The sequence below is a fragment of the Homo sapiens genome, chromosome 20, assembly GCF_000001405.40.
Source record: "Homo sapiens chromosome 20, GRCh38.p14 Primary Assembly".
Lineage (NCBI taxonomy): Eukaryota > Metazoa > Chordata > Mammalia > Primates > Hominidae > Homo > Homo sapiens.
Window position 1 is genome coordinate 53996617 of NC_000020.11, and position 13021 is coordinate 54009637.

Here is a 13021-nt window from a genome sequence, read left to right on the forward strand (position 1 = left end):
TGAATCTGCCTTCCTTTCACCATCTCACCTCTCACGACCCCAGGACAGGAAGCTACTGCCTCTCCACCTTCTGACTGCAACAGCCCTGGCCTTGTCTCTGGTTGGGCTCTTGACCCTCACAATACATTCTTTACTCAACAGATCCCATCTTCCCACTCCTTACCACCCTCCAGTAGCTTCTGACAGCTCTTGGAGTCAAGCCCAAACTCTGATGCAGGATCTCCAACGTCTAACATGGTCTGCCCCTGCCTAAATCTCCATCCTCTCTGTACCACGTGCTCCTTCATTCCATTTTCTGGCCCACTTTCTTTGAGTTTTTCAAACATACCACAGGTTATTTCCAAACTTCTGGCTCTCTGTTTGAAACATTCTGCTCCTCTGTCTGCCCGTAGGTAATTTCCATCCATCCTTAAGGTCATAAGTGTCATCTCTTTGGAGAGATTGTCCCTAAACATTCATCTAAGGCTGTCCTCCCACCACTGTCGTCTCCACCAGAGTCCCTTGCCCTTTTAAAAATCTTTGCTGTGTCAGCAGTTCTGTTTACTTCTCAGTCTTTGTGCTTTTCCTCATACTCCCATTAGACTACAAACTCGACAAAGACAGGGATAATATCTACTTCACTCAGTGCTTTTCTCAAGTACCAAGGACAGCGAGGCCCACAGAAGGCATTCAATAAATATGTATCATTTATGAAAATTTTACAAACATAGAATAGTGCTATCTGTACCAGCATAAATTCTCATGTGACAAAGTAGTACAGAAACTTCCCATTGCAACACAGCTAAACCTGCCTCATTCTTTACGACTCAGGTGACATTTATTCCATTGCTTGGTTATAACATTGTTTATTGTCTAATATCCTTATTGATGGACATTCACAGTGTGTATAGTTGTACATCTAGAGTATTATAAGCAGTAGTAAAGTGATCATCTCACACTTTTATTTTTAAATACTCATGTATCTATATTTTCTTTGGGTAAATTATCAAAAATGAAATTTTTGGGTCAAGAGGTATGCAAATTATATAAACTTGATGAATATTCTTGCAAAAAATGAGAAGGTTTCAACAGAGAGGTCCTGCAGGTACATCGGTGCATCTGAGAAGCTGTTTGGTGCACCGGAGGTTGTGACAAGTGAGACCTAAAACGTATCCGGGCTGGGCAGGTTGGTGCATGTGGTTGTGGCCTGGCAGTGGGGAGCTTGGTCTGGAGGTGGGTGGAGTGAGGGAGGCGGACTCGACTCTCACCTGCTGGTTGAGCATCGTCTTCACTCTTCGCCCTCCCTTTCATCCCCGTGTAGTCCTTCCTTTCATCCCAGGGCTGTGGGTTCCGCCTTCTCCACACCATCTCCCTGCCCCCATGCTGCCAGTTCCCTTACTTAGAGGAGAATGAAAGGAGACACTTCTGTTTCCTCAAAAGCGATTTCTAACAATTCGCAGTGTGTGAGGTGGCAGAAGCCCACAGAAGACTTGGTATTTCTATTTTGACCCCTTCTCTCAGTAGTGGAGAGTGGGATATGGTGGCACTGCATTTAGACTCCTGGATTTTATACTTTCTCCTCTGGGGTTGGCAGTGTCTGGACAAGCAGTATAAATTGATATGGGTTGACTATCCCAACCACTGAGATACAATTCAACTCATTTTAATGGACGATTGTATTGGGCCATTTTTTGCGTTGTTATAAAGACATACCTGATTCTGGGTAATTTATAAAGAAAAGAGGTTTCATTGGCTCACAGTTCTGCAGCCTTTACAGGAAGCATGGGACTGGCATCTGCTTGGCTTCTGGGAGGCCTCAGGAAGCTTACAATCATGGCGGAAGGAGAAGTGGGAGCAGGCACAGCACATGGTCAGAGCAGGAGCAAGAGAGAAAGAGTGGAGGGGGTGGTGGGACAAACTTGCAAATGACCATATCATGTGTGAACATAGAGCAAGAGCTCAGTTACCACCAAGGAGATGGCCCAAGCCATTCATGATGGATCCACCCCTGTGATCTTTCACCAGGCCAAACCTCCAGCATAGGGGATTACAATTCAACATGAGATTTAGGTAAGGACAGATGTGCAAATTACGTCAACTACTTATTAAGCATTACATGTACACCAGTGCTTTCTCTTTCCTAAGCTAGTATAATTTGAACAAGGTCGCTTAATCTTAATATATTATTATTTATTATAGAATAATATACAATGCCAATACGTCAAATATTTTACATTTACAGCATGCAAACCACTATACAAATAAATGCATTAAACATATGTCACTTAATCTTTACAACAATCTTCTGAGACAAATATTACAATTAACAGTTTCAAACAATGAAATGAGGCTCAGAGAGTTTAGGTTACTTGTCTAAGGTCACACAGCTTGAGAGAGGCCAATATGGGGATTATAAGTCAGGCCTGTCAGAACTGAACATCTTAAAATTCTATAGATTATTTGGCTATGAGTGTCAACTTTGCTAAACTTATATAGTGTGTGCAGTAAAATGTAACATCATATAAATTAAATCCAGGTGGTGGAAAACCAAGATCCTCATAGGGAGTGTATATAAATATAGACTACATCCATAAATTCCACCAGTAAAAACCCTTCATAACTTAACTCTCCCAAAAAGTACTGCACTTATAACTTGTTTAAACCATGTCATCCTTACGTCTTAAACAATGCTTGTTTATGCTTGTATAGCTTTACAGTTACGAGGTGCCTTCACAAATCTATCTTATCTAATCTTTGCCAAGATTGTGCAAGGCAAATTACAGATGAGAAAACTGAGGCCCAAAGAGGTTTAAACATCATGTCCAAGGCCACAGTTGGCAAGCGTAAGCATTAATTTGTTTTTGCCTAAGTAGCATTCCTCACTCCTTGTGACAACAGGACCCTCCTGCTCATTCCTGGAGAAGTGCCCCTCTTCCATTCCATTCTCATTGCTTTCCTGCCCGTTTTTTTTTGTTTTATTTTCCCCCTGGGTCACTCTTTTGTAACCCCAGTGACCTGCTTGCTCTTCTTTGAACATGTCAAGTAGGCTGTTGCCTCAGGACCTTTGCATCTGGGCTGAGCTTCTGCCTGCCAGGAGCATGTGACCTTACTTCTTTCAAGTCTTTTTCAATTGTCACTTTTTTCTTTTTTTTTGAGACAGAGTCTCACTCTGTCACCCAGGCTGGAGTGCAGTGGCATGATCTTGACTCACTGCAACCTCTGTCTCCCTGGCTCAAGCCATTTTCCTGCCTCAGCCTCCCAAGTAGCTGGGATTACAGTGTGTGCCACCATGCCTGTCTAATTTTTGTATTTTCAGTAGAGATGGGGTTTCACCGTGTTGGCCAGGCTGGTCTTGAACTCCTGACCTCAGGTAATCCCCTCACCTCGGCCTCCCAAAGTGCTAGGATTACAGGCATGAGCCACTGCGCCTGAGCCAATGGCCACGTTTTCATCGAGGTCTTTCTTTACCACTCTACTTTAAGTTGCTATAATATATCCCGGCATATCTGATGCTGCTAATTGCTTTATTTTTCTCCTAGTAGATTTCACTTCTAATATATTACTGGCTCCTCTTCCCCCTAAGGACATCTGGTAATGTCTGGAGACATTTTTTTGATTGTCACGAGTAGCGGGTTAGTGATTTACCACTGGTATCTGGAGGATAGATGCCAGGCATGCTGCTAAAATTCCTGCAATGCCCAGGACAAAGAGTTATCTGGCTCTCAGTGGCAAGACTGAGAATTATATTAAAACTCTCACTTGTCATTTTGTGTTTTGTTCCTCTCCCTTCACTGGAATAGAAACCAATGAAGGTTCTTTTTCTCCCTTATGTTTCCCCAGCACCCAGACTTGTGCACATGGTACAATCTCAAAAATTACTAGTGAATGAATGAACAAATGATTTAATCCAAGTGAGAGTATCAGTCATCAATTTTTAGCCATTATGATTTCAAATATTTTTTCTTCTCTCCTTTTCTCTCCTTTCATGGACTCCAATTACCTGCCTACTAGCCTACTTGAAGTTATCCTGTAGCTCATTAATGTTCCTTTCTTCCTTCTTTTTGAAAAAGCCCTCTTCCTTTTCACCCACTGCCCTGTGGTTCCTTTTGGATAGTTTCTATTGCTGTGTATTTAAATTCACAATTTTTTTTTCTGCATTGTCTAATCTGTTGTTAATGTCATCCAGTGTATTTTTTACCTCACACACTGTAGTTTTTATCTCTAGAAATTTGATTTGGATTTTAAAAATATATCTTCTATGTCTCTACTTAACTTTCCAAACATATGAGACACATTTATGCTAATCCTTTTTATTTTTTTGCCAATTCTAACACCTGTGTCAGTTCTGGGTAGGTTTTGGTTGATTTCTCTTCACATCATGAGTTACATTTTCCTGCTTCTTTGCTTCCCTGGTAATTTTTGTTTGCATGTCAGACATTGTGAATCTTACCTGTTTGGGTGGCTGGATATTTTTTGTTCCTATAAATATTTTTGAACTTTGTTTTTGGAGGTAGTTAAGATACTTAAAATCAGTTTGATCCTTTTAGTTCTGGCTTTTAAGATTTGTTCGTGAAACTGACTTTGCAAAAATTATGAGTGAAAAAATTATGACTGTGAAAGAGATCTGACCTAACCAACACCATCTTGCCTTTAACTTCCAAGCTGCCCTTGTTCATTCCTGGGGGTAGGCCACACTAACTTCGGGAGGAATTTAGTTATAGTTTAACTTTGAAACAAAGATAATAACAGTCCCTTCCCCAAACAAGCCCCCTTTATTCTTGGGGACCAGTCCACCTTTGTAAAACTAGCAAATTAGACACAACATTAGAAATTATGGCTCAGGAGTCATACAGCCAGAGGCCACAAGATTCTTCACCTCCCCAGTTGTTCTTATGGATAACATTACTGCTGTAAAACCTAATATTGGTGTTTGAGATATTTTTCAGACCCTGCATTCTGGTCTGGCTCATCTGGACTTGCGGCCCCCACCCAAGAACTGACTCAGTACAAGAGGACATCTCTGATGTCCTATGATTCTGCCCCCAATCAACTAATCAGCATTCTCCACGCCTTAGCAATCTGCCCACCAAACTGACCTTAAAAAACTCTAGCCTCTGAATTTTGGGGGGAAGCTGATTTGAGTAATAAAAAAGTTCTAATCTCACATTTAATTGGCTCTATGTGTAGTAAACTCTTTCTCTATTGCCATTCCCCTGTCTTGATAAATTGGCTCTGTCTGGGCAGCGGGCAAAAATAACCCATTGGCAGTTACATTAGGTAGGACCAAAATCGTGTCTAGTCTAGGAAGCTAATATTTTCTCGCTAATGAGGAAAGACCCTGTGACTACTCTACCCAGTGCCTTATTAATAATGAGGTTTTCTAGTCTGGCTGGTGAGAGAAGGCACTCTCTCTGGCCCTGTGTAAATGCCTTTCTGGTGGTTGGTTTTTTTTTTTTCCCCCTTCAGTCTTTGCTAGTTTCCTCATATGAACATATTGGTCAGCTCTCTGCCTCATACTATGTGAGGACCTTTGACAGACCCTTGGAGTTTGCTCTCTGTGTATCTCTCTCTCTCCTCTGATGCTTTGTCTATGAACTCTGGCCACCTTGGGCTCAGGGAGCCTGCTGGGCTCTGCCTCAGTTCCTCCCCCCTAGGCTATGGGCTGGAAACCCTCTCAAGGCAGTAGGTAGGAGCAGACACAGGGATTATCTCTTATGTCCCGTCTCTCAGAGAACACCTATCCTTGTTGCCTGATATCTTAAAACAGTCTTAAAAATTGTTGTTTGGTTTTTTTGTCCAAGTTTTCATCTGTTTTAGGCAAGAGGGCAAAGCCAGTTCCTGTAACTCTCCCTTAGCTGAAAGCTTCTACTCTGTTAATAGTAGAGAGTGTTGACTTCCTGTAGCTGGCTACAGGTGAGTTCGTTTTTGGTGATGCATGAATCTTGAGCTACATTATCATGTGAACAGCAATGAGGATCAAATCAGGTCTGAAAAGAAGTGAGCTCCCTAAATTTGAAATTAATAAGTGTATTTGAAATATGAACTTTGTCACCAAAATTAATAATAAATCTTGTTCTAGGGGTGTAGCAGATCTTTTTATATTAATTAGTGATAATGATTATGAACATTATTTATAAATGAATAAATGAAGGGAAGAATGAATGTCAATGATCAATCTCTCTTTCTTTCCCATAGACTGATATTCAATTGAGTAATTTTGCAAACAAGAATTGAAGCTCATTATCTCTTACTGCTATTTGTTTTCCTAATTCCCCTCTCATCAGTACCCATCATACTGAATCATAATTGATTAATTGCCAGTATCACCTGCTCAACTGGGCATTTGAGGACAGGCACTGCGTGTGTCTCATTCACAACAAGATCAAGTGGTTGATAAAAGTTCCAGTGCCTGACAAAGACTCCATATTCACCTCCCAGCTCCACTCACAGGTTGAGGAACCCCAGCTGGGGTCTTAGCCTCTCTGAGACAAGGTCGTCTCATGGAACACAAGATTAATAATAAACCTTGCCTGGTATAATTCGTTGTGAGTTTCCATAAGAAATAATGCATGTAAATTCCTTAGCATAATGCCTAGTATAGAAGTGTCCAATAAATGTTAGCCAAACAGACAAAAAAAAAAAAAAAAAAAAGCAATGAAAATGCCATACAATTTGCAAAGTTCCTGACACAGAGTAGATTCAGGAGAAACATTTGTTAAAGGATGAAAGGATATGGAGTAAATTCTTTTTTCTATGCCTTTGTACACTGTGCTCTCCAGCTTCTGTCTTCCCTTTTGAAATCTATTCTTCACGATTGGAATCAAGTCTCCCTCTCCCACCGACGTTTTTCTGGGTCAGGCCACCCATGGACTCTGTCCCCTTCTCTGAATTTCTATACCACAGTTCTCAGCACTCAGTTGGTACTTAGATTATGCACTTAGACCAGCCTAACACCAAAGGCCAGGTTGGAATAGTTTGCATTAAAAATGGGGCTTTTGTGAAATGGCTGCAAAAATACAAAAAGCACATTTTGGTGAGTATTTTAAAAGTAACAATAATACACATATTCTACAAGGGTTTCAATCAGCCCCAGGACTCTTTCTAAATGGAAGCATATTTCTTGTGAAATGCCTCATGAGCAGCTGAAGCTTCATAAAACTAAAAGCAAATAAAAGCCATGGTCTTAATAGTCTTGTTAGGTTTTCTGGTTAATTCTGGGAGAAAAGTGTTTTGCTTTGGAAGAGATGTACTTTTTAAAAACAGGTTCTAATATGAGTTGAACTTTTAAAAACTAACTCTGAGGTATAACTGGGATCCAAGCGGTTAAGCTGGTTGATTAGAAGGATGGCTGCAAATTCTATTTATAGCAGATGAGTGTTGATATACGTATGAGGAAGGCGATTTTATTTTAGGTGGTATGTCCGCGCACACACACAGTTATTCTTTTAATGTGTATTGTGGACTGAAAGTTTGTGTCTCCCCAAAATTCATGTGTTCAAATCCTAACTTCTGATGTGATGGTATTAGGAGGTGGGGCCTTGGGGAGATGACTAGGTCATGGGGTGGAGCCCCCATGAATAGGATTAGTGCTCTTATAAAAGAGACCCCAGCGAGCGTTCTAGTCCTCTTTCCATCATTCCAGGGTGCAATGAGAAGCTGGCCATCTGCAACCCAGAAGAGGGTCCTCACAAGAACCCAACCATGCTGGCATCTTGATTTCAGACTTATAGCCTCCAAAACTGTGAGATATCAATTTCTGTTGTTTATAAGCCATCCAGTCTATGGTACTTTGATAGCAGCCTGAACTAAGACAATGTGCACTAGAAAAATATGTCCAGCATCAACCTTTTCATATTATGGATATTTTTGTGTAGGTGAAGTTCAATATAAAGTAAACTTTAAATAAAGCTATTACATGAATAACTGAACAGGTGTCTTGAAGATGAGTCATTATGAAAGTGGCACAAGACATAAATCTAGACTGAGAAATTCCCCACAGGCCTAAGTAAGGTGTTGCCCAGGAGCACCATTCATGAATTCATCCTCACTCAGTAACTATGTGGGGGTAGTTACATTACATACAAGCTGTGCAGAGGCCACACAGCATTAGCATGGGCTCTGAAGTTATGCTTTCACTGTGTATTGTGGACTTAAAGTTTGTGTCTCCCCAAATCCTAACCCTCAATGTGACTACATACAAGCTGTGCAGAGGCCAGCTGCCCAGGTCCAATCCCTGCTCTGCCATCTACACCTCTGCAGTACTGCACTTTCCCTAACTCTAGGTTGCAATTTGCTCATTTGTAAAAGTGGGGTGATGAGTAGCACCTGCCTTTTAGGGTTGTTGAGGGAGTAAATGGGATAATCCATATAAAGGACTTAGGAGAATGTGCAGTACAGAGGAAGCATTCAGTAATGGTTAGCTATTATTATTGTGTTTAATTTAATTACTGAGCACTGTGGTAAGCTGTGAGATTTACAAAAATGAATCTGACACTGTCTTCTCTCCTAGATGCTTGGAGCCTTATGGTGGATAAAGGTCAGTAGATAGGGACAAGTACTCTGATAAAAAGACAAGTGAGGCTAAGCACAGTGGCTCACATCTGTAATCCCAGCAATTTGGGAGGTCAATGCAGGAGAATTGCTTGAACACAGGAGTTCAAGACCAGCCTGGGCAATATAGTGAGACCTTGTCTCTATGAAACAAAGCAAAAACAAAACAAAACAAAACAAAACAAAACAGAAATTAGCCAGGCATGGTGGCATGCACCTGTGGTCCTAGCTACTTGGGAGGCTGAGGCAGGAGAATTGCTTGAGCCAGGGAGGTCAAGGCTGCAGTGAGCTATGATTGTGCCATTGCACTCCAGCCTGGGTGACAGAGCAAGACCCTGTCTCAAGATAAAAAGAAAAAAAAGACAAGTTAATTTCATCAGCCCAGTGGGTCTCAGCATAACTGGATTTTAGAATCACCTGGGCAGCTTTTTAAACAAATGCCAATACCCAGATTCCACCCCGACCAATTACATTAGTCTTTTTGGAGGCGAGGCTCAGATGTCAATATTTTTAGACCTCCCCAGGTGATTCCAGTGTGCACCAAGGTCAAGAGTGACTGAACTAGAAGGGAGAGGGAGACTTGAAGATGAAGCAGCATTTCCCCAAGGCCATGGAGCATAGGTTGCAAGTAGACTCGCAGAAACAGGGAGGAATGCGGGATGGTGATGGAGAAATTTCTGTCAAGTGGACATGGAGGAAGGCATGTGAGAAATGCAGAAAAAGATGAGGTGGGGATGGGTTTGGGGAGGGTTTAGGGGGCAGGTTATTCAGTTCAGCAGAGGTATGGGGGTTATGAAAAGCAAGATGGTTATAACAATAATTTGGAGTCAGACTGAGGAAGTGTTGACTGACATTTAAGGAGTAGGTGCCATGGAAGGTGTTTGGGCTCAGGCAGCCTCACTCTACCTTACCAGGATGGTGGGCACAGGGCAAAGGGGCTAAACAGCAGCAGAAGCAGCAGAGGGTTCCATCACATAATTTTGAAGTGGAGAAGTCCCCACCTATTCCCTGAAGAGAAACATCATGTGGATGCCCACAACGGAGAAGATATGGAGAGTCAGAGAGAACAATCTGCAAGGCAAAAAGCCTAGAGCCCTTTCCCCTTAACCCCTCCTCCCTAAACTCACATGCACTAGGGGAGGACGAGAAGAGGAAAAAAAGCAAGTCCCCCTTCTTCCAGACTGCAAGGACCTCAGGCCATGGTCAAGGCAGAGCTTGGTTCTAGCAGGAATTGGGATGAATGTTATAATGAATGTGTGATTAAAGTTTTAAAGTTGGATTGGGCTGGGCATGGTGGCTCACGCCTGTAATCCTAGCACTTTGGGAGACCGAGGCAGGCAGATCACCCGAGGTCAGGTGTTCAAGACCAGCCTGGCCAACATGGTGAAACCCCGCCTCTATTAAAAATACAAAAATTAGCTAGGCGTGGTGGTGCATGCCTGTAATCCCAGCTACGGTGGAGGCTGAGGCAGGAGAATTGTTTGAACCCAGGAGGTGGAGGTTGCAGTGAGCCAAGATCGCACCACTGCACTCCAGCCTGGGCGACAGAGTGAGACTCCATCTCAAAAAAAAAAAAAAAAAAGTTGGATTGAACAGGACTTTTGAATCACAGCAAGTCTGGGGACTTGCCTACGGTGTCATGAAAGATTAGGAGAGAAATTTTTGATCAAATATCTACTGTGTGCTTCCCACTGATGGAGGCAGTGAGAGTACAGCTCACAGTCCTTGGGGAGCTGAAATTCTCACAAGGGAAAAAACCGAAGTGGACAAAAACACAGATAAACTAATACATCTCACAGATGACTCAGGTGGTGAGGGCTGCTAAGGAGAAAAGAAAAGGCAAGGCCACGGAGGGTGAGGTGATGGGCTGCTGGCTACTTAGACAGTAGGCAAGGTTCTCTGAAGTTGGCGTGGAGGCAAGGAGGTAGCTCTTCTGATCCCCAGCCTGGGTCCACTGCTCTGAGCTACTCCGGTCTGACAGCCCACGTGCTCCCCAGTGCTCATCACAGAAAATAAAAGGGGCTATGTCTAGGTTGCCCGCAGCTCCTGTCCTGATTGGGTTTCCTAAAGGGCTGCAAGGCAATGATTCTTTTTTGTGGTTCCAGGGCTAGACATACAGGGGATATCTATTGAACTTTCTCAAAACAAAATGGAATACAGTGATGTCAGCTGAAGGGACTAGGAATTACTAAAATATCAAGTGGACCCTATGGATCTAGGTGGCCATCAGGATCTGCCATGATGGACGCCCTCTGAATGAGGAAGAAAGCTGTGAGTACTTCCGTAACCTGGAGAAAGAACCCTACTGGAGCAGACACAGTTCAAAAGAACTCCAGGAACACAGGAGCCCGCTGCCTTTCTGCATTGCCCCATGACATCTTCTCTAGCCTCTCTGCTTCCCTGATTTCCCAACTGCAGTAATGTCTCCTGCCTTGGACAGACAGTAGCTATGGAGGAGCAAGATCTGCCGGCCCAGGGCAAGGAGTAGGTTTGCCTGTGGCTCTTCCTGAGTGAGAGTTTTATGGCCTTTCCAGGTGAAATTCTCAGCTTGAACTTAAGCCCTTACTTTGAAATATTTTTTTTTTCTTCTTAGATTGACATTAAAAAATAACATAAGACTTCTGCTTCTGGGAAGATGGGGCACACACACTTTCTCCTGTTCCTCTCACCAAGGACAATGAAGAACCCTGGACATTATAGAGAAAACATACATAAAAGGATTCTGAAAGGTGGAGAAGAGAAGGCAGACCAGCTGAGGACCCGAGGAAAAACACGATGGTGAATTCCTTGGGTTTTCTTTTTGCCTCAAGTACCCCAGACTTGGAGTTGAAGAAATTAGCAACCTGGAAACACCTATAGGCTCTGACATACTCACAAATCCTTTCCGAAAGCCTACTCTCTCTGACTAAAGGACCAGGAAAGGGCAATCTGGCAAGACAGAAAACTTTTAGACAATGACCATACTACTCCAGCCAAATACCACAGGACATTCTGTGGTCTCACCATCTCCCATGCCAGAGAAAGCCAAGTGGGGAGCCTAGACTTCCACTTTCACAAGACCGTAATAGGTTATCCCAATACCCCTGCAAGATGGCATCTGTGGGGCTAAGTAGGGAGCTGGGATTCTCATCCTCACCGGTTGGTAATAAGCCCTCCCCACCATGGTGTCCGCGGGGACCACATGGGGAGCCTGGACTTCCAACCCCACCCAGGAGCAATGAGATGCTCCTCCCTCTCCCCACTGGGGTGGTGTGAGAAGAGACCCAGTGGAGTTAGCGTCAGCCAGTGGTAATGAGACCTCCACTGTGGTATCAGTGAAGGTCATGTGAGCAGAAAACTCCCGCCTCCACCCAGTAGTAATAAGGAGTATACCCCCGCCCCCCAACAATGGAGGCTGGTGAGAAACCTGGATGTTTGCCTCCACCTGACAGTAATGAGGTAGCAGCCCCAGTACTGCTGGAATGGTGTCCGGGACAGCCAGCTAAAATAGAAAGTTTAAGCAAGATGCAGTCTCATAATATGAAAATGGTCAGATTTCAATTGAAGATAACTTGTCATACCATACCAAGAACTAAGAAGGCCTCAAACATAATAAAACAAGGCAATCAACAGATGTCAACCTGGAAATGAGATGACAGAGATGCTAGAATTATCTAACAAAGATTTTTTTTTTTTTTTGAGACGGAGTCTTGCTCTGTCACCCAGGCTGGAGTGTAATGGCACAATGGCACAATCTTGGCTCACTGCAGCCTCTGCCTACCGGGTTCAAGCAATTCTCCTGCCTCAGCCTCCTGAGCAACTGGTATTACAGGTGTGCACCACCACGCCCAGCTAATTTTTGCATTTTTAGTAGAGATGGGTTTCACCATGTTGGCCAGGCTGGTCTCAAATTCCTAAACTCAAGTGATCTGCCCGCCTTGGCCTCCCAAAGTTCTGGGATTACAGGCGTGAGCCACTGTGCCCGGCCTCTGACAAAGATTTTAAAGTAGTCACAATAAAATGCTTCAATTAACAATTGTAACAGTGCTTGAAACAAATGAAAAAATAGAAAGCCCCAGCAAAGAAATAGAAGATATAAAAATAACTAAAATGGAAATTTTAGAATTGAAAGGTATAATAATGAAAACAAAAAGCCCAGTGAGTGAAATCAACAGCATAATGGGAGAGACAGAGAGAAGCAGCAGCAAAAACCTCTATTAGTAGAGACAACAGATGACAACAAAAAAGAGAGAGCAAGAGAGTCAAGGTACAGATTACCAGTATCAGGTACAAAACTGGATAGGAGAATGCCATAACCAATGCTACCTACATAAATTTGATAACGGGCAAAATGGAACATTTGCTCAAAAAACACAAACTATTATAACTGACCCAATATAATATAAATGATTTAAATATCCATATAACTATTAAGAAAATTGAATTCATAATTTAAAAACTTCCAGGAAAGAAGTCTTCAGGCCCAGAAGACTTCACTGGAGAATTCTATGAA

At 42.8% G+C, this 13021-nt stretch overlaps 1 protein-coding gene across 19 annotated transcripts in view; it reads right to left on the minus strand.

Annotated features, from left to right (window-relative positions):
• Positions 1-13021, minus strand: part of BCAS1 (brain enriched myelin associated protein 1) — a 127054-nt gene that overhangs the window by 53076 nt on the left and 60957 nt on the right. The gene's annotated exons all lie outside the window — the stretch shown is intronic.